This window comes from Homo sapiens, chromosome 1, assembly GCF_000001405.40.
Source record: "Homo sapiens chromosome 1, GRCh38.p14 Primary Assembly".
Classification (NCBI taxonomy): Eukaryota; Metazoa; Chordata; class Mammalia; order Primates; family Hominidae; genus Homo; species Homo sapiens.
Window position 1 is genome coordinate 8,435,688 of NC_000001.11, and position 26,084 is coordinate 8,461,771.

At 43.5% G+C, this 26,084-nt stretch overlaps 1 protein-coding gene across 2 annotated transcripts in view, besides 3 other annotated features; it reads right to left on the bottom strand.

The window, feature by feature from the left end:
* RERE (arginine-glutamic acid dipeptide repeats) overlaps positions 1 to 26,084 on the bottom strand; it is a 465,237-nt gene that overhangs the window by 83,284 nt on the left and 355,869 nt on the right. The window lies entirely within an intron of this gene.
* Positions 13,326 to 13,825: an enhancer, noted in NCBI's record as "H3K27ac hESC enhancer chr1:8509073-8509572 (GRCh37/hg19 assembly coordinates)". NCBI's record gives its function as "activates a minimal SCP1, AML or CMV promoter by ChIP-STARR-seq in naive H9 embryonic stem cells {active_cell/tissue: H9 hESC(naive)}" and the evidence as "EXISTENCE:reporter gene assay evidence [ECO:0000049][PMID:30033119]".
* Positions 14,730 to 15,229: an enhancer, noted in NCBI's record as "H3K27ac hESC enhancer chr1:8510477-8510976 (GRCh37/hg19 assembly coordinates)". NCBI's record gives its function as "activates a minimal SCP1, AML or CMV promoter by ChIP-STARR-seq in naive H9 embryonic stem cells {active_cell/tissue: H9 hESC(naive)}" and the evidence as "EXISTENCE:reporter gene assay evidence [ECO:0000049][PMID:30033119]".
* Positions 23,941 to 24,838: an enhancer, noted in NCBI's record as "OCT4-NANOG-H3K27ac hESC enhancer chr1:8519688-8520585 (GRCh37/hg19 assembly coordinates)". NCBI's record gives its function as "activates a minimal SCP1, AML or CMV promoter by ChIP-STARR-seq in naive H9 embryonic stem cells {active_cell/tissue: H9 hESC(naive)}" and the evidence as "EXISTENCE:reporter gene assay evidence [ECO:0000049][PMID:30033119]".

A 26,084-nucleotide genomic window follows, 5' to 3' on the forward strand; every position in this document is an offset into this window, starting at 1 on the left:
TTCATTCAAAGACCATGTGCCCAATGGGAAAATGACCTCATGTTGTGGTTTAAACAGCAACTGCACCCACTAGCACAGCCCATTGAGCTATCCTATATATACATCTCTGTCAGTGCCCCTCTGGGTCTAGATAATTACACTGAGTACACTGAAGTCCTTTCATTATTGCAGGCCCAACAAAAAGTACTGCCACTGGGTGAATATCAGAAAGCATGCATCAATGCACTTTCAAGTCAAATGAGAACTGGCTAGTTAAGCAGCAGCATTAACAGATGTAGAGATTGTGCCAGCCAAATGCCTCTTGCCAATTATGGCCACACAGCTACGCCCAAATTAAAAATAACCCAACACGGCCAGGTGCACTGGCTCATGCCTGTAATCCCAGCACTTTGGGAGGCTGAGGCAGGCAGATCACGAGGTCAGGAGTTTGAGACCAGCCTGGTCAACATGGTGAAACCCCAACTCTACTAAAAATACAAAAATTAGCCAGGCGTGGTGGCGTGTGCCTGTGATCTCAGCTCCTTGGGAGGCTGAGGCAGGAGAATTGCTTGAACCCGGGAGACAGAGGTTGCAATGAGCTGAGATTGTGCCACTGCACTCCAACCTGGGCGACAGAGCGAGACTCAATCTCAAATAAATAAATAAAAAATAAATAAAATAACCCAACACTCATAACAGAATCCAAATGGGCATGGGAGGCTCCTTCTCTCCCTACAATATCACCCTACAGTCGCTACATAAATGCCCCTGTAAAGTGGCTCCTAAGTTATGTCATTAAAATGTTCACCTTTCCTTGGCAAAGTAGATCTCAACACAGGAGGAAAGAGAAATAAGCTAAAAAAAGAAATGTGGATTGTCTAGAAGTTACAAGGGAACAAAAAAGTAGAAATCCTCCGTGAGAGGATTTTGCAAAAACTGTAATTAAAGGAATCTAGACCAGTGGTTGCCCGATAGAAATATAAGCCAAAAATGTAAGTTTTACTCTTCTAGTAACCATACTTTAAAAAGAAACAGGTAAAATTAATTTAAATGTTTTATTTAACTAAAAAGATCAAAAATATTATCATTTCAACATGTAATCAATATAAAAGTTAGTAATGAAATATTTTACATTCTTTTTCTTCCTGCTCAGTCTTTGAAATCAGTGTGTATTTTACACTGACCGTGCATCTACACTTGGGCCAGCACATTGCAGATGCTCAACAGCCACAAGAGACCAGTGGTTACCACATTGGAAAGCACAGGTCTAGAATAATCCTAACTTCTTTTTTTGTAAAATACTGAAACATCCAAAGCACTCCAAGTTTTCTATTAGGGAGGCAAAATAACTATACTGTTAGAATCATGGGCAACGATATCATAAATTCCTAAAATAAAACCACATAGGGCCGTTATTTCAAATTACATAAAACTTGTCTTCTAGAAGAATTCGACCAAATGCCAAAGTTCTTAAGATCTGCCCCACTTCCCAAACAAGGGAAACTGAAGACCTCGACCAGCACCAGGGCCTTCCGTCAGCTCCTGATACAGGAGGGGCTCCTGGATTTTGTTTCCCCTTCTTGACAATACAACATGGGACTGGGTTCCTCATTTGACTCGGTTCATTTAAAGAATGATCTCAAAGAAGAAAGGAAAATCAATGACCCCTTTAGGAAATGTAGTCCAGGGTGGGGGTGGAGGAAGCATTTCAATGACAAAAGCCAAACCTCAGTCATAATGCAGATCCCTGTCTAACAGGTGATCATTGTTTTTTTTTTCTATTACAGGCACTCTGGTCTCCCGCCTACCCCATGCAGGATGGCTATCCCCATGCAGAATGGCTGTGACTTTCAAGAGAGTCCCCCAAGGGAGGGTCCCAAGATCAGGGGCTGGTAATGGGCCCCACCACAAGGCTACGCTGCTGGCTTTTGTTTGGAACAATAGCGCTCCCATGATACCTCACTCTTGCTGACAATATTGGTAATACGGGAGCATGAACACAGCTGTGTGTAAATTACACACACAAACAGATTAGATCTGTATATTTATAAGGAATACAAACATACTAATAGCTCATTTACATACACAGCTGGATACAATGGGCTGCATGCAGAGGGGAGTTTGAGTTCCAAAGTATTTCTCTAAAATTTTACAAAAAGAAATGCTCAGATTACTGCTAACCCAGGCTGAGACTTCTGCTCCCCCCACCCCCATGCAGTATGTCCCCCGAAATAGAGTCCTTTTCATCCTCGTTTGTGATATTTGAGATGCTATGAAGGAGAAACCTCAACAAGTGCTGTTAGATTTCACTTTTATTATTATTTATTATTATTTTTAGAGACAGGGTCTTGCTCTGCCACCTAGGCTACAGTGGTATGATCACAGTTCACTGTAACGTGGAGCTTCCGGGCTCAAATGATCCTCCTGGCTCGGCCTCCCAAGTAGGTCAGACTACAGGTATGTGTCAGTTACCATGCCCAGCTAATTTTAAAAATATTTTTTTGTAGAGACGGGGTTCTCACTATGTTGCCCAGGCTTGGTCTTGAACTCTTGATTTCAAGCAATCCTGCTGCCTCAGCCTCCCAAAGAGTTGGGATTATGGCATGAGCCACTGTGCCCAGCCAGATCTCACTCCTGTAGGAAAAAAATCAATATAGGATAATTTTCAGTTAAAAAGATGTATATACATACGAAGAGGGAGACCTACTAAAACATCTGTTACAACAGCATATAGTAAGGCAGAATCTTTGCATTTTCAAAATGTTTTCATAAACTTTATTTGTTAGAGCAATTTCAGGTTCACAGCAAAACGGAACAGAAGGTATAGGGATTTCCCATATAGATGGGTCTCTGGATTTTTCAGCTAATTTTGAAAAATAGGGAAAAGAGCAATCAGCATTTTGTGCTCACTACAGTAAACCAGGAACACAGGCATCAGGAGAGCTGGGCTCTGATTCAAAGGCCTGATTCTAGCAAGGCCTCACAGTTTACTTCCGGCTAGCCATGAACACTCTCTGCGCCTGAGGTTTTCGTGGAAAGACAGCATCACAAGTACTCAAATGTAGCGTTTAAAAGTACTAACTTTTAAAATGTTGAATGTTCCAGTAAAACAGTTAAAGAAAAAAAAAGGTAATAATCCAACTAAGTAAAAATATTAACTTATACATATCTGGATAGATGATAAGCTCATTACAGGCCCTAATTTTATTATTTAAAATGTTTACAACAAAACTCTCTAATTGATATTCTCCCTCTCTCTCTCTTTTTGCCTTGATATGGTTTCTATAAACTCTTGGTTTAAAAAAGAAAAAAGGTCCATTTCTGAGGCTTGGGTTTACTGTACTTACAGTTCCACCAGTAAATCGTCTCCCAGTCTGGGCTGGAGAAGCGCTGGCCACGGTTTGATTGCTCCAGCCCCAGGTTGCCAGGCAACCCACACAAGGGGGAAGTCTGAGAACCGCTGACAGATAGCCAAGTGGCTGAAACAACAGACTTCTCTCTGTCAAAAATGTGTTTGAGAGAGCCACTTGCCCACCTCTGCTCTCTGCTAAACACTACATGATTGTAAAATCAAAATCAAAAGGCCACTGTAATAAAAACACACTTCCTGCTCAATTACTAATTGTTCTAAAGCTGTGGGGAGGCCCAGATCCTACAGTGTATGGCAACAGAAATGCGATACTGTAAATGAGATAAAGCCAGCAGCATGCAAGAAACCTGATCTAAATGCATCTCCGTAGCTTCAAGTCAGGAGAGCTGGTGTGTGGAGGAATCAACTGCCTAAGAAAACACCAGGAAGAAAATAATGAATGTCAAGATGTTAAAGAAACAAACCAATCAATAACTACGAAGCTAGAGGTCAAGACTACTTAGTAATAAAACCAAGAACATTCTCCATTGTTTTGAAACACAATCTGGAGGCAATGAAAGTTTTCTCCCTCAGATGGAAAGGAGGAGCAAGAAAGGTCAATGACCCTTGGGAACCACACCCCCTGGCGGTTCCAGGTGGATTCCCTGATACTTGACTGTAAATGGGATTACAGGAAATAGTAGCATCCTTAGGATAATGCAGGACAATAACAGGTCTGAGAGTCTAATGCAACATTTAAAATACCTATGGTGTGAGCTGGGCACAGTGGCTCACGCCTGTAATCCCAGCACTTTGGGAGGCCGAGGTGGGTGGATCACCTGAGGTCAAAAGTTTGAGACCAGCCTGGCCAACACAGTGAAACCCCGTCTACACTAAAAATACAAAAAATTAGCTGGGCATGGTGGCAAACGCCTGTAATCCCAGCTACTGGGGAGGCTGAGGCAGGAGAATTGCTTCAACCCGGGAGGCAGAGGTTGCAGTGAGCTGAGATCGCGCCATTACACTCCAGCCTGGGCAACAAGAGTGAAACTCCCTCTCAAACAAACAAAAACAAAATATCTATGGTGCATGTACCAAGCCAGTAACATTGTGCCCAACACCAACTCTATGCAGCATCCTTCCATGAAACCACTGTATTGAAACTGTCATCTTGGACTCTGGAAACTATTTGTAGTATGTGGAAGGGGCCAGCACTGAGTGCACAGTTCTTTATCTCTTCTGTGCCATGGACCCTTTGGCAGTCTGGTAAAGCCTGACTCCTTCTAAAAATGGTTTATGGCCAGGCACGGCTCATGCCTGTAATCCTAGCACTTTGGGAGGCCGAGGCAGGCGGACATGAGGTTAGGAGATCGAGACCATCCTGGCCAATATGGTGAAACCCTGTCTCTACTAAAAATACAAACAATTAGCTGGGCGTGGTGGCGCATGCCTGTAATCCCAGCTACTCAGGAGGCTGAGGCAGGAGAATCACTTGAACCAGGGAGTCAGAGGTCGCAGTAAGCCGAGATCATGCCACTGAACTCCAGCCTGGCGACAGAGCGAGACTCCACCTAAAAAAAAAAAAAAAAAGGCTGGGCACGGTGGCTCCTGTCTGTAATCCCAGCACTTTGGGAGGCCGAGGCTGGCGGATCACCTAACGTCGAGTTTGAGACTAGCCTGGCCAACATGGTGAAACCTCGTCTCTACTAAAAATACAAAAAAAAAAAAAAATTAGCTGGGCATGGTGGTACATGCCTGTAGTCCCACCTACTTGGGGAGGCTGAGGCAGGAGAATCGCTTGAACCCAGGAGGCGGAAGTTGCAGTGAACCAAGACCATGCCACTGCACTCCAGCCTCGGTGACAGAGGGAGACTCCATCTCAAAAAAAAAAAATAGAAAGTATGCCAGAGTAATATAACTGCTCTATGAACACACTAAATAACAAGAGCTAGCAGAGGGTTTTCTTTAGCTCATGCAGGTTTTTTGTTTTTCGGGGGGGTGGGGGGGCTGTTTTGCTTTATTATGTGACCTCAGATGATAAACCCTTGGAGGGCAAGGACAGCAAGTTTTTCATCATTCAATTTCCAGTGCAATATGCAGCCCGGTTTCCTGCCCCAAGCTCCTAAGCTAGCCCTCGTCACACCACTAGCCCAGCTCCTATGGGGGCGTGGGTTTCCTTGACTCTCCCAGTGCCCAGAAGTGGGCCTGGCATATAAGATGTGTAAGACCATAGTCCGCAAAATGGGATGTATGGACACAAAAGACATTTTTTTCCTATGTTCTCTTTCCAACAATCCATCAGCCTGAGAAGGCACACGCTCCTGTGAGGGGATGCAGCCTCTCTTCTTCTATCCCCACCACTGCCCCCCTCTCACTTCACAAAGGCAGCCTCCTCTCCCCCGCTCCCATCTGGAAGGCTACCAGGCAGCACTGCCCCAGGGGCACTGAACAAGGGGACAATTTAAAACATTGACACTGGTGCTGACACAGTGCCTAGCTCTGAGGTCAGGATGAGAAAGACTCCACAAGTCAGACATTTTCTGATTCTCTGCTTTCAACAAAACACAAGGAGGTCCTAGTGGAAGTGTCATCTGATAGATTGCGGAAAGTCATATCTGACGACAAATTATACTTTTGGCATTATTATGGAAAGAATTCAAATAACTGAGTGACACTGTAACAAAACTATCATTCCCATCTACTTACTCACATAAACAAGGTTTCTGGGCACTTACGTGTTTAAAAAAACCATACAATTTATTTCCAATAAATGTTAAGCAAAAATGAAAATTATATCAACATTTACATTATTTCGTTGTTTTCATCAACTGTGCTCTAATAATTATAATTTGAAAAAACATTTCTTCTATACTTAAGAGCTTTATTATTAAAGGAAATAACCATATGCCCGATTTCAATACACACACTTTTTGTTGCAGGGAAGTACTAAAGGTCAATCGGACACTGGACTTTCAAACATAAAATGTATCATCTTAGTATAAAGTCCCTGGGGAAGTAGAATGGAAATAAAAATTAAAGGGGGAAAAGGATAAGATGCAACATTGGACTGCTTTTAAAAAATGAACTTGTCGGGCATGGTGGCTCACACCTGTAATCCCATCACTTTGGGAGGCTTAGGTGGGCAGATTACCTGAGGTCAGGAGTTCAAGACCAGCCTGGCCACCATGGCGAAATCCTGTCTCTACTAAACATACAAAAATTAGCCAGGCATAGTGGCGCACGCCTGTAATCCCAGCTACTCAGGAGGCTGAAGCAGAATTGCTGGAACCTGGGAAGCAGACGTTGCACAGTGGACCAAGATGGTGCCGCCACTGCAGTCCAGCCCAAGTGACAGAGCAAGACTCCATCTTAAAAAAAAAAAAAAAAAAAGCTTATTTTAAAAATAGATGATAGTTCTTGCTCCTCCTTTCATCATGTGATGTGCCTGCTCCTACTTCGTTTTCTACCATAAGTAAAAGCTCCCTGAGGCCTCCCCAGAAGCCACACAGACGCCAGCACCGTGCTTGTACAGCCTGCAGAATTGTGGGCCAATTAAACCTCTTTTCTTTATAAATCACCCAATCTCTGGTGTTTCTTTATAGCAATGCAAGAATGGCCTAATTCGGAAAATTGGTGCCAGGAGTAGGGTACTGCTATAAAGACACCTGAAAATATGGAAGCAGCTTTGCAACGGGGTAATGGACAGATGTTAGAAGAGTTTGCAGGGCTCAGAAGAAGACAGGAAGATGAGGGAAAGTTTGGAACTTCTTAAAAGACTGGTTAAATGGTTGTGACCAAAATACTGACAGTGATACGGACAGTGAAGACCAGGCTGAGAAGGTCTCAGATGGAAATGAGGACATTATTGGGCACTGGAGCAAAAGTCACCCTTGTGATGTCCTAGCAAAAAAGATGGCTGTGTTGTGTTTCTGCCCTAGGTATCTGTTGAAGTTTGAATTTGAGAGTGATGACCTAGGGTATCTGGTGGAAGAAATCTCTAAGCAGCAAAGTATTCAAGATGTGACCTGGCTGCTTCTACTAGCTTAACTCAAATGTGGGGACAAAGAAATGACTTGAAGTTGGAATTTATACTTAAAAGGGAAGCAGAGCAAAGAAGTTTGGAACATTTGCACCCTGGCAATGTGGCAAAGAAAGAAAAGCTTTTGGTTGGGCGTGGTGGCTCACGCCTGTAATCCCAGCACTTTGAGAGGCCGCGGCGGGTGGATCATGAGGTCAGGAGTTCAAGACCAGCCTGGCCAACATGGTGAAACCCCATCTCTACTAAAGATACAAAAAATTAGCCCGGCATGATGGCACACACCTGTAATCCCAGCTACCTGGGAGGCTGAGGCAGGAGGATCACCTGAACCCAAGAGGCAGAGGTTGCAGTGAGCACCTCTGCACTCTAGCCTGAGTGACAGGTGAGACTCAGTCTCAAAAAAAGAAAAAAAAAAAAAAAAAAAAGAAAGAAAAGCTTTCTCAGGAGAGAAATTCAGGCAGGCTGTAAAGCAATCACTTGCTAGAGATATTTGTGTAACTAAAAGGGAGCCAAGCGCTGATATCCAAGACAATGAGGGAAAGGCCTTAAAGGAATTTCAAAGACCTTCCCAGCAGCCCCTCCCATCATAGGATGAGAAACCTAAGAGGAAAGAATAGTTTTCAGGGCCAGGCATGGGGTTTTGCTGCCCTCTGCAGCTTTGGGACACTGCTTCCCACATGCCCCTGTGACTACATCCTTGGCTCAAAGGGCCTCTGATACAGCTCAGGCTGCTGCTTCAGAGGGTACAAGCCATAGGCTGTGGCAGCTTCCAGGTGGTGTTAAGTCTGCAGGTGTACAGAGTGCAAGAGTGATGGAGGCTTGGCAGCCTCTGCCAAGATTTCAGAGGATGTATCAGGTGCCCAGGCCAGAAGCCTGCTGCAGAGATGGAGCCCTCACACAGATACTCTACTAGGGCAGTGTAGAGGGGAAATGTGGGGTTGGAGGGCCCACACAGAGTCCCCACTGGGGCACCACCTAGTGGAGCTGTGGGAAGGGGCCATTGTCTTCCAGACCCAAGAATGGTAGATCCATCAGCAGCTTGCACTGTATGCCTGGAAAAGCTGCAGGCATTCAACTCCAATTTGCTGAACCCTGCAAAGCCACAGAAGTGGAAGTGCCCAAGACCTTGGGAGCCTGCCCCTCATCAGTTTGCCCAGGCTGTGGCAAATGGAGTCAAGGGCTATTTTGGAGCTTTAAGATTTAATGATTGCCCTGCTGGGTTTAGGACTTGCATTGGGCTCAATGCCTCTTTCTTTTGACTGATTTCTACCTTTTGGAATGGGAATGTTTATCCAATGCCTATACCCGCATTGTATCTTGGAAGTAAATAACTTGTTTTTGATTTTACAGGCTCATAGGTGGAAGGGACTTGCCTTGTCTCAGATAAGACTTAGGACTTTTGAGTTTATACTGGAATGAGGTAAGACTTTGGGGGACTATCGATAACGGATAATTTGTAATGTGAGAAGGACATGTGGTTTGCGGGAAGCCAGGAATGGAATTATATAATTTGAATATTTGTCTCCTCCCAAATTTCATGTTGAAATGTAATCCCCAATGTCGGAGATGGGGCCTGGTGGAAGGTTACTGGATCACGTGGGTGGATTTCTCATGAATGGTTTAAGCACCATCCTCTGGGTGCTGTGCTTGCAATAGTGAGTGAGTTCTTGCAAGATCTGGTTGTTTAAAAGTGTGTAGCAGCCCCACCCCCTTGCTCCTTCTTCCACCATGTGATGTGGTGTTCCCGCTTCAGCTTCCGCCATAAGTAAAAGCTCCCTGAGGCCTCCCCAGGAAGTGCGTAGATGTTGGTGTCATGCTTGTACAGCCTATAGAACTGTGCGCCAATTAAACCTCTTTTCTTTATTTAAAAAAAAAAAAAAAGATAATGGGTATAAATCACTATGGTATTTAAAATTCACTTGTAATATTTAAAAGAGTGAGGGGACAATTTTATTTTTAAATGTCAATGTTTGTAATTTTGGAAGTTACATCCTTATCATAAAAAAAGTCAATTTAAATTTGGGAGTGGGTATGCGCTTTCAGGCAAAATTCTTTTAGGGGCTTCATAGGGATAAAATATTTTTCTTAGCTTTGTATCTACCTAAAGGAAGACCCAGAAATTCTTTGGGGTACCAAGCATGCTTCCACATCTCAGCTATATTTAGTCTGGTTTTACCTAACAGAAACAAACTAGGGTCACTGAAAACACTTTCTTGAACCAAGACAGGTTGCACCATGGAAGATCTTGCCGTATGTAACTGCTGTTCCACCAAGGTACAGACTTTTCTTCACTGGAATTCCAAAGCTGACTATAGCTCTGTTCAAGGACAGTAAAAAGCACAAATTCTTCAGTGTGCCAATTAAAGTGCTTGGCACCTTCCATTCTGTCACTTCAGCCTGGACTCTCACATACCCACACCACACCCAAGCATCTGGACTCTTTTTTACTTATTTTATTTTTCAGCCATCATCTACACATGTAGATGGGCCAGCCCCAACACCCAGTGGTTGAAGACAATAATCTTCATAAGCAGGAAATTACAGAGGTGATCTTGGTTCTGAACCAACTGCAGAAGAAGACAGATAGACAATCGTCTCCATCAGCAACCACCTGCGGCAGGAACCCCACCTTTTTTTTTTTATGTTCGGGGATACATGGGCAGAACGTGCAGGTTTGTTACATAGTTTACACGTACCATGGTGGTTTGCTGCACCCATCAACCCATCATCTACATTAGGTATTTTTCCTAATGCTATCCCTCCCCTACCCGCCCCCACCCCCCAACAGGCCCTGGTGTGTGATGTTCCCCTCCCTGTGTCCATGTGTTCTCACTGTTCAACTCCCACTTACGAGTGAGAACATGTGGTGTTTGGTTTTCTGTCCTTGTGTTAGTTTTCACAGTGTCGACGGTCTTTACAATTTGGCATGTTTTTGCAGTGGCTGGCGCCTGTTGTTCCTTTCCATGTTTAGTGCTTCCTTCAGGAGCTCTTGTAAGGCAGGCCTAGTGGTGACAAAATCTCTCAGCATTTGCTTGTCTGTAAAGGATTTTATTTCTCTTTCGCTTATGAAGCTTAGTTTGGCTGGATATGAAATTCTGGGTTGAAAATTCTTTTAAGAATGTTGAATATTGGCCCCCACGGTCTTCTGGCTTGTAGGGTTTCTGCAGAGATCCGCTGATAGTCTGATATGGGCTTCCCTTTGTGGGTAACCCGACCTTTCTCTCTGGCTGCCCTAAACATTTTTTCTTTCATTTCAACCTTGGTGAATCTGAAGATTACGTGTCTTGGGGTTACTCTTCTCATCTGATATGGGCTTCCCTTTGTGGGTAACCTGACCTTTCTCTCTGGCTGCCCTTAACATTTTTTCTTTCATTTCAACCTTGGTGAATCTGAAGATTATGTGTCTTGGGGTTGCTCTTCTCGAGGAGTATCTTTGTGGTGGTCTCTGTATTTCCTGAATTTGAATGCTGGCCTGTCTTGCTAAGTTGGGGAAATTCTCCTGGTTAATATCCCGAAGAGTGTTTTCCAACTTGGTTCCATTCTCTGTGTCACTTTCAGGCACACCAATCAAACGTAGGTTTGGTCTTTTCATAGTCCCATATTTCTTGGAGGCTTTGTTCATTTCTTTTCTTTTCTTTTTTTTAGAGTCTCGCTCTGTCACCCAGGCTGGAGTGCTGTGGCGCCATCTCGGCTCACTGCAAGCTCCGCCTCCGGGTTCACGCCATTCTCCTGCCTCAGCCTCCCGAGTAGCTGGGACTACAGGCGCCCACTGCCACACCGGGCTAATTTTTTTTTTTTGTATTTTTAGTAGAGACGGGGTTTCACCATGTTAGGCAGGATGGTCTCAATCTCCTGACCTCGTGATCCGCCCGCCTCGGCCTCCCAAAGTGCTGGGATTATAGGCGTGAGCCACTGTGCCGGGCCTGTTCATTTCTTTTCGTTCTTTTTTCTCTAATCTTGTCTTCACGCTTTACTTCATTAAGCTGATCTTCAATCTCTGATACCCTTTCTTCTGCTTGATCAATTCGGCTATTGATACTTGTGTATGCTTCACAAAGTTCTCCTGCTGTTTTTTTTTTCAGCTCCATCAGATCATTTATGTTCTTCTCTAAACTGGTTATTCTAGTTAGCAGTTCCTCTAACCTTTTTTCAAGGTTCTTAGCTTCCTCGCATTGGGTTAGAACATGCTCCTTTAGCTCGGAGGAGTTTGTTATTACCCACTTTCTGAAGCCTACTTCTGTCAATTTGTCAAACTCATTCTCCATCCAGTTTTGTTCCCTTGCTGGCAAGGAGCTGTACTCCTTTGAAGGAGAAGAGGCGTTCTGGTTTTTGGAATTTTCAGACTTTTTGCCTTGTTTTTTCCTCATCTTCGTGGATGTGTCTACCTTTGGTCTTTGATGTTGGTGACCTTCAGATGGGGTTTCTGTGTGGACATCCTTTGTGTTGATGTTGATGGTATTCCTTTCTGTTTATTAGTTTTCCTTCTAACAGTCAGGCCCCTCTGCTGCAGGTCTGCTGGAGTTTTCTGGAGGTCCACTTCAGAACCTGTTTGCCTGGGTATCACCAGCAGAGGCTGCAGAACAGCAAAGGTTGCTGCCTGAGGAACCCCACTTTTATGCAGAGGTAAAATCTACCAAGCATGTGGATTCTGAGGTTTCGTTTCAGCTCCAGTGGAGGCTGTGCTGTGTTGACCGTGTATGCAATGGACACAGAAGAATGAGTGTGCGGCACTTGCCTGCGTCTGCCACCCCACCTCCAGATCCAACTCGAGCCAGGCTCTGCCTGCTTCTCCGAATACATCCTGCACTCTCTGTGTCTCCTCACAGGGTAGTTCTGCTGTCTGGGGAGCCGATATTGGGTGTGATGATCTGACTTGGATTCCTGAGTACTCCACTCACCACTGCTGCGGCTCTGAACAAATTCCCTTACTATCTCATGCCTATGTCATGTCGTGCTCCTCTGTGTTTCCATCTTTCTGTGTGCCCCATGGAACTTCCCCATTCTGCCCAGCACTATGTTCTGGGCATCCAAGTCCACCACTGCCATTAGAACATCATCTTCTTGAGGTGGGGAGTTCCTGTCCAGGGCCACCTGGAGGCCTCTGCACACGACAGGCATTTAATAAATGTTTCTTCGATGACGTTTCCTATTATCAGTATCTGGGCCTTTCAGAGCCAGAAGGGGACTATTTAATTATTATTACTCTCATTTCTTAGTGAGAGGACCAATGACTCTCCCAAGGTACAGCAACTGGTCCAAGGCACAGACTCAACCAGAAAGCAGGTTTACCAACACTTTTGTCTTCTCAGCATAAATATTCTAAAGAAAATAATTACTATTGGGTGCATTTTCCACAGATAGATGAAGAGTTATCTGAAAAAAGTAGAAGTGAGGGAAGGGAATAAAAAGGGGGAAAAAAAAAGGCCAGGCGCAGTGGCTCACGCCTGTAATCCCAGTACTTTGGGAGGCCGAGGCGGGTGGATCACGAAGTCAGGAGTTGGAGACCAGCCTGGCCAACATGGTGAAACTCCATCTCTACTAAAAACATAAAAATTAGCTGGGCATGGTGGCTAATAGGAAACGTCATTGAAGAAACATTTATTAAATGCCTGCCGTGTGCAGAGGCCTCCAGATGGCCCTGGCGCACATCTGTAATCCCAGCTACTTGGGAGGCTGAGGCAGTAGAATCTCTTGAACCCGGGAGGCGCAGGTTGCACTGAGCCGAGATCACGCCACTGCACTCCAGCCTCGGTGACAGAGCAAGACTCCATCTCAAACAATCAATCAAACAAACAAACAAATAAACAAACAAAAAAAAAAAAGGAAGAAGAACCAGAATTTCTTGTTTTTGAAAAATCAAACTGAAGAATGACTGGACACGATGTCAGCACCACTCACACAGGAAACCTCACGCATGAAACCTCACACAACAGCACTGCAGCTCTTTCGCTTGGTTAACTTGGGGACAGCCCTGAGACATGAGATCGGCCTTTACAGCCTTCTTCCCAGGCTGGTGGAAGATCAGGCTGCTCTGAATCCAGGCCGGCTGGAATTGGCGGGGCCTCTCAACACAGTCAAGAATGGCTAACGGCAGGCAGAAACATTTTGTGGCCTAATAAAGGATCAAAGAAATGTTCCTTACAAAGAGGAAATGAATTATCCACACATCAAGCTCCTTCATGTCTTCTGTTTGTTTGTTTTAGGCCCTCCAGCCTGTTTGGATAAAACATGTTACACTGAGAAAGCATCAAAGAAAACGAAACAACAGTGACATTTAAAGGGAACTCCGCCGGCTAGACAGAGCCCCATTTTGGGTTCAGCTCCAACTTCTCCCTGTTCTGTCTCTCCTGGCCATGGGGAGTATTCACCCACAGCTGACATAAGATTATCAGCAAAGGTTTTAACAAGAACCAGACCTTTCTCTTCTAATCTTTCCCCCAATCCAAAATGTCATGAAAAAACTTCAAAGAATCTTGTTAGAATTTAAAAATATTCTACTATTGTGTAACTCATGCTGAAAAATGCACATCTAGGTATGAAAAACGCACAGATTGCTCTGTCAAAGACCACTACGTGACTGCACTTCCATAGCAGAGATCCCATCTTTCCTTTCAGCTAAATTTAATCTGTTCTAAACTCTGAAAGTTATTGAGTCCTAAAGACATTTATTTAGCAGGTCCTAACAATGAGCAGTTTATAGGCAATTGTGAAACATGACCACAAAGATTATTGGATGGGGGTCAGTAATTTGAATTGCTAGAAAAATATAGATCACTCTTGACTGACATGAATGATCAGTGGTATCATTTACCCAGAATTACTCAAGAGAGAATAGTAACATGGAATGAGAAGCTGCTTCTACCCTGAAGGAGTCACTTTTATAGCTATACAACTTCTACCCTACTCAGTCTGTGTGTGGCAAAACTAGTTTATCCTCCTCATGGCATCTACCTGAATTCATCTTATTTAAGTTAATTTGCTTATTTGTCTGTGGTCCCTATTAGAATGCAAATCCCATGAGAACAGTACCTCCACGGTTATTTCTATTCCCAGAGTTGAGAAGGTGCCTCGTACACAGTCAGTACTCATTGTTGAGTGACTGAGGAGACAAACAGCAGGAATATATTCTACAGCCAACACTTGAATCTGCGATCTTAGTCTACATAGTCTTCCATTCACAAAACTCTATCTTCTCGTACCTTTCCTCCACCTTCAACCTCTCCATGTTAATGCACTTCGGCTCCATTTACCAGTTAACGATTTAGTGATCCCACTGAGAAGCCAGGAGCTCCAACAGCCACCGAGAAGCACAGCACCCAGCAGAGCTGCGTGTGGAGGCAACGCTCACCTCCCTCTCCATGGGACCTAAATGACCAGCATAGCACACGCTTCCTTCCTTCCCAGCCCTTCCTGTATTCCCAGCCCAGTCCAGACTAGACGTCCTTCTGACCAGAAGCTCACCTTAGCAAATCCCAACTGATGCCTCGCACGACGTCCCCTAGAGACCTACTGTCCTCTCACACGCAGTTCTCCAAAAGGCCTCATACCCCAACCCCCGAGCCCTGCTGCAGCTTTCTCACTTTCAGATCCACACAGAATCCCTTTTAACCCCTCCAGTTATAGGGCCAGAAGTTGTTTTGTCAACAGTAGCAATCCTGTCTCACCGTCTCATCAACCATGCCCATCCGGGTTCCCCCATCACAGTGTCAACCACTTGCCAAACCCATCTCCTTCTTATCCTGTGACCAGCACCAAAGTCTCTTCCTAGCTAGCTAAGTCTCTTCCTCCATCCTACCTTTCGACAGCACTCTCAGGAACGTGGAAAAGGTTGCCCACGGCCCTTCTAATAGTCTGTGTCTACCATTCTTGGTGCTCTTTATTCCAGCCTAGCCATCTACCGGTAGCCATACCTAAGATGTGAAACTACAGATTTTCCCTATTTACTGCACAGCTACCATGACCCCCACAACATCCCTCTTCTTGACTGTGTCCCTCAACTCCTCTACCACTTCTGTACTGGTTCCCCATGTTCTCTATGCAGCCTGGGGCTTAACTATCCATTATGTCAACAATGCAGTCAATACTCACTACCTCAGCTGGGCGCGGTGGCTCACACCTGTAATCCCAGCACTTTGGGAGGCTGAGGCGGGTGGATCACTTGAGGTCAGGAGTTGGAGACTAGCCTGGCCAACATGGCGAAACCCCGTCTCTACTAAAAATACAAAAATTAGCTGGGGTGTGGTGGCACATGCCTATAATCCCAGCTACTCAGGAAGCTGAGGCAGGAGAACAGCTTGAACCCGGAAGGCAGAGGTTGCAGTGAGCTGAGATTGTGCCACTGCACTGCGGCCTGGGTGACAGAGCAAAATTCCATCTCAAAAAAGAACAAAAAAAATACTCCTTGCCTCAACATCCCGACCTCCCACCAATTTTCTAGCCCAATCTTCCACCCACTTTGGCTGCATATTAGTGTCCTAACATCCTGGGACACTGGAAACTTGTACCCCAGATGAATTAAATTGGACCCAAGTTTCTGCTCTGTGTGTCTGAAGTTCCTCATGTGACTCCAGCGTGCTAATAGTGTGAAGTGCTGCTGTACACCGACAGCTCTCAACGTCTCTCACTAGGGGCATAGTCCTGATCCAGTCCAGTAGTTCTCAGGGCCTGGATGCCCATGTCCCACCCTAGGGATTCTGCTCTGACTTGCTGGGGTACAGGCCAGCATTGGGGCATTTTCAAGTTCTCCCGATGACTCTAACGCACAGCCAAGTTTACAAGACGTCCTCAGCCCACCTCCACTCTTCCAATGCTACTGCCAGACTGGTCTTCAAGGGCAGCTCCAGTCCTATCCTTCCCCACACATTCAAAAATATATAATTTTTCCTCGTTTCCTGTTGAATTAAACATAAACTTCTCAGTCAAAAGTGGAAGGCTCTGAATTAGCTACCTCACATCCTCCCCCACCCATAAGCTTCATCCAAACTGGGCAACAACTTGCTACTAACCAACCACTCAAATTCTTTTAGCCCTTGTTCTCCAATTAACTAACCTCTGTCAACTCTGCCCGGTGAAATCCTATCCATCCTTCAAGGTCCTCTCAAATAAGCCTCCTCTACAGCACCCTTCCTGATCTCCCTGTCCAAGAGCAGGGAGCAAGCTGCTCACCTCAGCAGGCCCTGTGAGCCCCAGAACACCATCTGAAGCAAAAGAGGCACTCAAAACAAATTTTCAATTGTGTGGCTGCTGTCCCCTCTCTAGATTCTGTGGTGATAAATCCAACTCAAGCACTCATTTACACCCACTACCCAAATCAGTCAAGGATACCACAGTGGGATGGCATGTCACCTGCCATACTGCCAAGCAGTTACCAAGGTTGGTGGTAACTCCTGCAGAGATCTTAGCAGTGAAAGAACAAATGCTGTTTGTTTAAAGTCACTGATACGCTCCCTTCCTTTTGTACACAGAAATCAATAATGTTTTTTCTAAGTCTTGTTTCCAAAAAACTAAGCCAAATAAAAAAAAAGTCACTTGAATAATAGAAGAACAAACTAACAATGATAGGAACAGAAGATTCAACTAGAGGAAGAATTATGAGAGCAAACAGTGGATACAACGGTCTCAAACATCCAGCAGAGCCCTGCACACAAGAGTAGGAATGGAAACGCAGTAGAATTAAATTCAGTATAAGATGAAAAATAAAGACCTTCCTTTTTCCATGTATATTTTTAAGGTAAATTTAATTATCCAGAAACAGACAAAAATGTTTGCTCTTCACCTTCAAGAATCCACCACCCCTTTTGTGAAGATACTCAGGCTCAGTAGAGTGCACCCGTACACATGCCCATCTTCGTAACGGAATGCCTGAGTGCCTAAGATGTTCAAACCAGTGGAGAGTAGCATGGCGTGATGCTCATGGACTCCTCTAAATGTGTGAGCAACCGGATTACACATCTCAGAGTGTGGCCTAAAAGCAAGATAAATCTACGTGGATCATTTGAATGTTTTACAGATATTTAAAAAGAGAGGGAGAGAGAGGAAGGGAATGTGAGCTGATTATGAAGTCAGAGAATTTAATGAGGGAGACAAGCTACCAAGGTCAGATTGCTCTGGGGTCATAAACTTGGAAAGTGACTATGAAGCTGACAAAGAAGTTGGGTTGTCTCAAAGGACGATCTGAAAATAATTTTCTACTTTTGTTATTGCTAAAGGACTGGAGAATTTCATTTCCATGGACTGAACTGAGCAGTAGGATCCCAAAAATCCAGAGCCCACCCCACTCTTTAAGCTGCTCTGAGAATTGGAACAGCTCTGCCTGATGAAATCAAGACTTCAACGTGGGAGAGATCACCACAGATCAAAGCTCCAGGTCTTCTCTAGGCAAAGCTCCTTTATTTCTTAGATTAATGTTAGGTGGGTTTTTGGTCGAGGTCAACCAGTTTCCCAAACCTTTGCTTATCAAGATCTCCTTAGGCCGGGCATGGCGGCTCACACCTGTAATCCCAGCACTCTAGGAGGCCAAGGTGGGCAGATCATTTGAGGTTAGGAGTTCAAGACCAGCCTGGCTAACATGGTGAAACCCTGTCTCTACTAAAAATACAAAAATTAGCCGGGTGTGGTGACACACACCTGTAGTCCCAGCTACTGGGGAGGCTGAAGTGGGAGGATCACTTGAACCCGGGAGGCAGAGGTTGCAGTGAGCTGAGATCACACCATTGCACTGGTCCAGCCTGGGCAACAGAGCAAGACTCTGTCTCAAAAAAAAATTTTTTTTTAATTCATTTTCTAAAATTCTCTTTTAAAATTGGATAACCAAGCTTACTTAGCTCTGTCACCCTAATTAATTAGAGGCCCTATCTGAAAAAAGAAAATGAGTAATATTTAGGATGAACATGTCTGTTTGGAAAACAGTTTATTAGCAAATGTGTGACACCTCCACAGATTTTAATATTAAACAGTGGCTCCCAGAGAAGACTCCAAGCTGCTGTTGAGGGGAGCACAAGGGACAGAAGAGCACAGAGCATGGCTGCAGTGATGGGCCATCCTTCCTCCCACTCTGGTGGAGTCTATGGTACTCATTAGCCTGCATCTCTGTAGCCTAGGAGATTTGGTTTCATTACTGTCAATGGCAAAGCTTAGAAAAATAAAAGTATGATCAAAACTTACAAATCAGCTTCAAGGGAGATCCCAGAACTTTCAGTAACAAAAGGACACTGTGTGTGTGTGTACGCACACATGCATGTGTACACGTGTGTTTTCAAATTTCTTAAACAGGAATGACTCTGTTAGCTTTAGATAAATCATGTGGCCAATTTTTCACCTGGGAAGTGAAAGGATGGGGCAGGCAGCAGACCAAGATGGGCTTAATCCTGACCTCCTGTCAAACACAGCTGCCAGCACCTCAGAATTTTCCCCTTCCCTTTCCTTCTCCTTTTCCTATAATTTTTTAGATTAAAAAAAAAAACTTAAGACTTGCTGGGTGTGGTGGCTCACGCCTGTAATGCCAGCACTTTGGGAGGCCGAGGCAGGTGGATCACAAGGTCAGAAGTTCGAGACCAGCCTGGCCAACATGGTGAAACCTCATCTCTACTAAAAATACAAAAATTGGCTGGGCGTGGTGGTGTGAGGATGTAATCCCAGCTACTTGGAAGGCTGGGGCGGGAGGATCGCTTGAACCTGGGAGGTGGAGGTTGCAGTGAGCCAAGATCGCACCACTGTACTCCAGCCTGGGCGACAGGGTAAGACTCTGTTTCAAACAAACAAACAAACAAACAACAAAAAAAAACCCCCACAAAACTGAAGACTCAAGAAGGGGAGTGGGGAGATCATACTTTCTTGAGGCCACACAGGTGGCAGCCAATCTGAGTACTGATACCCACACCTCTGACTCTCAGGCCAGTTTTCTCTCCACAAACCACCAGGCCTGTTTTTCCTGCTTCTGCCCACCAACCCACCCCAAAAATGAGTTTTCCATATAGGAAAGAGAAGAGCCTGGCTTATCTTCTTCAGGAGGTAACTGTGCCTTCCCCAGAGAGCTCAGGTGCCAGGACGTCAGCAGCCCTCAGACAGCAGAGCCAGGAGGGACACGGGGCAGTGGTGACGAAGCTGTTCAGGGCAACTCTGGGCATCCTCCTATTTTCAGAATAACAATCTTCCTGGTGTTCTTAGCAGCATGATTCCTTTTTTTATTATTATTTTTTATTTTTTAGAGACAGGGTATCGCTCTGTCACCCAGGCTGGAGTGCAGTGGCGAGATCACAAGGGAGCACGATTCCTGAACTGGGGGAACAGTGCTGAGTTGTATGGGAAGGTGTGTTAGAACAGCCAGATTCACCTGTGCTGCCCACTGAGCTCTTTCCTTCTCCATCACTCATTCTCCCATAATAGAACATCTCAACCACACGTATCATCAGTACACATCAGGTGATGTTGGCAATGAACGAGTTTTTTTAATTGGAATTTAGAAAATAAAACCACAAACTGGAAGGAGTTGGTTGCTCCTTCCAAAGCAAGCTACTGAGAGGAAAAGAACAGGGACACATCCAGTTAATTAATTCTCCCTAGACGGTGGCAGCTCAAGAGCTCAGCCAAAGAGGTCACTGCACTGAAGCAATGTGAGGTTTCTCTTCTGTTCCACCCACTCAAATGATATTTTCTTATTATCAATCCTGCTCCAGGTGCTGGGCCAGGTTCTGTGAATACAAAAAGAATTAAACTACAACCCTGCCCTCAAGACTTCCTAGTTTTGTGTGGAGGCACCTAAATGAACTTGTCAAACCAACCTGGTGCAGCAGGGCCTGCAAAATGCAGTGACGTCCCGGCCTTCATCAGTCATGGGCCACTCCTCATTCTAAAGTGCCTCGTGAGCACCCTAACCTCTCAGAAGAACGAGTGTTGGGGAAAGAAGAATATCAGAACACTACTAGGGAACATTAAGCTTGGCCCAGCATTCTAGTTAGTCAGTGCACGTAGCATCCATCCTCCAGACATTAAGAATAATCACCACAGGCCTAGAGCAAGCAAATGCCGGCCGACAAGGGAAGCTGGCCTCTTCTGTCAAACAGCAGTATTAGAGGGACTCTCCCCTGAGCTGAGTCTCAAAGCCAGGGTATTTGACTCAAGAAAGGAAGATTTTTGAGATGACTCTTTTCATTAGGTGTTATAATTCAGAGCATGACATCTACAGTTTTAAGTTTTCCACAGTGTTCACTTCCTGAATTAAAATTTGTCAGGACAGGCTGATAACAAGAGTAATGACTGCTCCAAGATAGAGGTAGAGCAGGTACACTTTTCTTTCCAGGTATTTTCTTGCTCCTACTCAGGAAAAACAGCTCCTCTCACAAATGCTGAATTTATAGTAAACTTATGTAGTAAATATTGTCTAAACCAGTTACAAAACAAAAACGCTTCAATCTTGACACAATGAGCAGCTGCAGAAGTCAGAGGAATGCATGACTCAGAGTCCTACATAACTGAAGCCGTAAAAACACTGTTATGAGAGATACAATGTTAGGAGAAAACAGAACAGCCCTCAAGAATTCCTCATTAATTTGATAATGTAATTTAACTGTGAGGTACAAAATAGGAGTGAACATCTCTGGTCTAAGATCCTGGTGGCCTTCCGACTTCATCTTCTCCATCCACTCCGGGGCATCTTTGCTCTTCCTGGAACACACTCAGGCATGCTCCCACCTCAGGGCCTTTGCACTGTTTCCTTGGCCCAGAATTCTCTTCCCCTATGTATCTGCAAGGCTAGCTTCCTCACTTTTTAAGGTCTTTACTCAAAAGTGAACTCTCCATGGCTACCTTAAGAAAAAGTTCAACCCCTCTACCTGGTATTTCCTATCACTTTCCTGCTTTTAATTTTTTCAGGACTAACACACTATACATGTCACTTAGCAAGACTGTTTTAATCTATCCTCCTTCCCCACTACAATCTCAACTCCATGAAGGCAGAGAATTTTGTCTGTTTTGTTCACTGCTGTATCACCTGGCAGAGTGTCAATGCTCTACCAATATTTCCAGAATGAAAGAATGAATGAATTTCAACTAGTGAGCTAAAATCAGAACTGAATGAGAAACTTGGTAAGTAGGAAGGAATCATTCTATCTTCATGTTCACACAGTCAACAATCACAGGAAGAGCCAAACCGACACCAAACTCCTCTGCAAGGAATGCAGAGCCAGACAGACAGATCCTGAGGCCCCATGCTCAGGTGGTGAGGCCAATATCAGGCACTGTCTTTCTCCCCTTATAACCACCAAACACATGCTGCTTCCTGATAGCTCAGTACTTTGCCTCATAAATGTGGAAAACACACTAGAATTCACCTATATAAAGGTACTTCGGAAAAATGTCTTAAGGCAAGTGCAAAAACAAAATCAAATCTAAGTGTCAATTAGTTGCATGCAGGGTGTTAGGAAAAGAATAACAAAACACTACTAGAGAAGATACAAAATAGGCTGGCACTCTAGTGAAGATGGCAATTAGGGGGCTACCAAGGCCATCACTACTTCTACCTAAGGGAGACTTACTTACTTACTTTATATATTTATTTATTTATTTTTTTGAGACAGAGTCTTGCTCTGTCACCCAGACTGGAGTGCAGTGGCACAATCTTGGCTCAATGCATCCTCTGCTTCCTGGGGAGGTGATTCTCCTGCCTCAGCCTTCCATGTAGCTGAGATTACAAGCACGCACCACCACGCCCAGCTAATTTTTGTATTTTTAGTAGAGACGGTGTTTCGCTATGTTGGCCAGGCTGGTCCTGAACTCCTGACCTCACTTGATCTCCCTGCCTCCGCCTCCCAAAGTGCTGGGATTACAAGCATGAGCCTCTGCGCCTAGCCTAAGGGAGACTTTAGATTTAAGACAGAAGTATGCCAGGAGAGAGGAGGTAGCTTTAAATGAATGACTTCCTCTCATGGTAGGGTTCTCATTTTTCACTTCCTGTTTCCTTCTCCCAACATTCAATTCCAGTTACCAATGTAATATGTCTCACCTGTGAAAATGTAAGACTCCAATGTCACTATACGTAGAATGTTCTAAGCACACGCATTAAAACTGACTCCAATTCTGTTGCTAAGAAACTGCACAAGAAAAGGGTTTTCCATCCTCTTCGTTTATAAAATAACCACTGTCTATGGGAGAACAAATGCAATCTCTCAAGTCCCCTTGTGCCTTGTTCTCATTTTTTAAATGAACAGAGAAAGATGATAGAGAGTGGCTGAAAGTGTATGCTATCTCCATTTTTTTACATGCCCTTGAAAATGAGATGGAAACATGGCTTCAATAACCCACTGCTCTAGTATTTATTAATCTTTCAAGCTGAAGACTCCCCCCATTACTCCCCTTACTCCCCGCTCAAGCAAAAATGAAAAATATACCGTCAAAAGTACTCTTCGATTTAAAAAGATTATCCCAAGCAGCCAGGAGTAATTTAAGGTGTGCTTATATTCAATGTGGGGTTACTTTCCAGGTCTCTGTATAGCCCTGATGTCTAAACACAGACGTGTGCGCATGCGCGCACACACACATATACATACACACACACGGCCCTAAAGAACAGCACAAGGTATGCTGGCTTTTATTTTTTTAATCTAAAAGTAGGGCTGGGGATGATGGACTTAAAAAAAGTACCGGTTAAAGACACTAAGAAAAGAATAATCTTGTTAAACACAAAGAGCAAAATGGGCATACTAACTTCTTTGACCACAGCATAAAGAGGAAGCCTAGAAAGTAGTGAGCCGTGGATGTGAATGGAAAGGTCACAGCTGAATCTGTACATTTATCCCAGAGGCGACTTCTACTGACATGAACTACTGAAATACATTTTTGAAATATCTCTTCCCTTCTAATAAAATGCTTGTCCTATTTCATTTACTAAAGGGTTTTAAAAATACATTTCTCTTTAGAGCTTGTTAAACAGTAGAATCTTTCTGCAAACTAATTGACAGAACTGACTGCCTTACACCAACTTTTCTGTGCATATAATTGATTTTTAATTTGCTGTCTCATTTCCGAAAGGACTTGACAATAAACTCCATTCTATCCATACTATTGACTTCTTTAAGCAAGGGTTTGGTTCAAAGGCCGATGGGAATTAACCATAGGAAAAATAGTCCAATTTTATTAATAGTTGGAACTTCAGGCAAATCTCACTTGAATCTACATTTTTCTTTTTTAATATTAAGGGCTAATTCTCACTATAGGTCACATTAAGAATACATAATATGGAGTAATATGTACATACGTGTAATATATCAACATTTCTATTTCTCTTATTTTTCCTACTCTCATATATACAAATTTAGTTCTTCATAAGAAACAGTACCACTGTCATTTAAAACTGGAGGAAGGGTGGTTAGTAGAGAGGAGAATCTACTGTGATTCAATTTAAAATGTACTAAGTACCTACTATGTGATGCAGTAGATACATTGTATCTATATTTTGGGTTAATGGCAAAGGTTCCAAATGAATTGTAAAAATTTTCAAGTTATAATTTCTTTAGAAAGATAATTTCAATGTTCTGACTCAACTCACATGTATGCAAACCTGTACACATACGTAAGTTGACAATGACATAAAACCACGTACGTACATAAACAAAGACCAGAAGAGAGCAAGAAGCCAGCAAATGAGACGATGAAGCCAGACACTGTGAGACGACGTGTTAGTGGTGAGGTTTTAAATTCCCTTTAATGATTTTAGGATGTTGTTCTAACAATAAAAAAAACAATCTGCACAAAACCCTAAAAAGAATAAGAAAGTGAAAAGGTTCGTACTAGATGACCTACAAGACTCTCCTATCATCATTTTTGAATGACTACATAAAATGGTCAACAACTCTGGAAATTTTACCATTCCTAAAATAAATATAACTAACCCTTCCCCTATATTGTGGATGTAAAATTTTAAAACAAAATCACCAAGATTATTAGTATCTGAAATCCACGTAACCATAACTACAAGCTCTGAGAGCCTCTCTCCCTCTTTGTCATTGTCCTCCTTGCTGTTTTCACCTCCACAACCTCCTGCTGCTATTGGATCTTAACGGGGATTTTGCTGTGAATTCCATTTTCCTCAGCTGCCATGCAAACAGTAAATAAAATTCATTGTATTTTTGCCCCACTAAGCAGCCCCGTCTTCTGGCACATTCAGATGCCTAGCTTGAAAAGAGTGAACAATGAAAACAATGTTTTCTCAAGCAGACATTCCAAAAAGGGCATAACAAAGGCATCTGGAGATGCTGCTGGGGAAAGACACCCTGCAAATAGTTGTGTGTATTCTGTGTAAGTAATTCCTTGACCGGCCGCACGGGTTCACTGGATTACAAATATTTAGAAAATTACTTTGCCATCTCATGTCAATTTTGAAAGAAGGATTTTCATTTATATTTATGATAGACTGAGCTTTAAATTGAAGGAAGATTTAGATGTTTTAAAATTTATGAGCTTGTAAATAAATCCATGTACATGGCCAATTAAGGTTTATCACTACCACAGATTAACTATTTTTGGATAAAAATTTCAGAGCTTATTTGTATCTAGATTGTTCACCTCAATGTATTACATCAAAATTGATATAAAATATTTAATGGGTAGTGTATTTCAAGATAAAAGCTATAGTTACCCAAGATGAAATAAAAACACCCTGTAGTAACATGGTAAGCAACAGAACCTTCACTTTGTGCAACACCTGGATTGTTGCGGAAAGCGAATTCAACATGAAAATAATTTTAAAAACCAAAACGCAGCTAAGTGGATAGGAAGCAAAGAGTGAGATGCACAGCTCACTGGAGCACCCAATCTTACAATCTTGCAAGTCAAACCAAACTCCACAAGGAAAATGCAGGCCCTGAATTTTAAAAAGAATTCAATTAGCATCCCCAGTATTTCCATAATCAACAGCTGAATGCTAATTAAGAGCACAGCATCAAGCGGCAACGGAATCCCAGTGCAATAAGCACCAACACAACAGCAGCAAATGCTACCTTCAGCTCGCATGCATAAATAAACAGAATTAATAACCACCCAAGCATGGAAGGGTGACTTAATCTGTTTCGATTAGGTGCAGTTCAGCCTGGGGCCTTTATGTTATATTTGAATGTGTTCATCATGTTTAATTAAAAACCTAATAATCTAAGATTTGTTTTGTTTGGGTTTTTTTTTTTAATGTTTTAATCTCTATTTCCTCCTCTTTATCTTCCTAAGTTCTACCAATCTGGATGACTTCCTGAAAAGGAACAGTATTTTTAGCATAATATATGTGAAATTGATTAACCATCAATGTAACTCTCAGAGGCAGAAGGCAGCCATTTACTTTGGCTCCACCCTTACCCATACCTTGGTATTTAAAGCTTCACAAACTGACCTAGCATTTCTTCCAAAATGCTTCTCTGATCAAACCAAGTTTACTTAGCCTGAAAGACATGACCCAGGTGTTGCTCACAGACACTCGGCAAAAGCAAAATTAATTTGCAGTATCCGGTACAGAATTTGACAGAAACTGGCACATTTTGGCTTCAGTTCAAGATTTGAAGTGTCTCAGCCCCAAAGCAACTTCAATTAGGAACATCATACACGCACACTGTCAGAGAAATAAACTGAGAGTTTGAGATGAAAGGCCTCCTATTGTGTGATTCTGAGGTCTAAGATCTCCAGAATTCATGATTATCTGAAAGACCTAGGAAAAAGAGGTCAGGTGATAGGAGGAGGAGG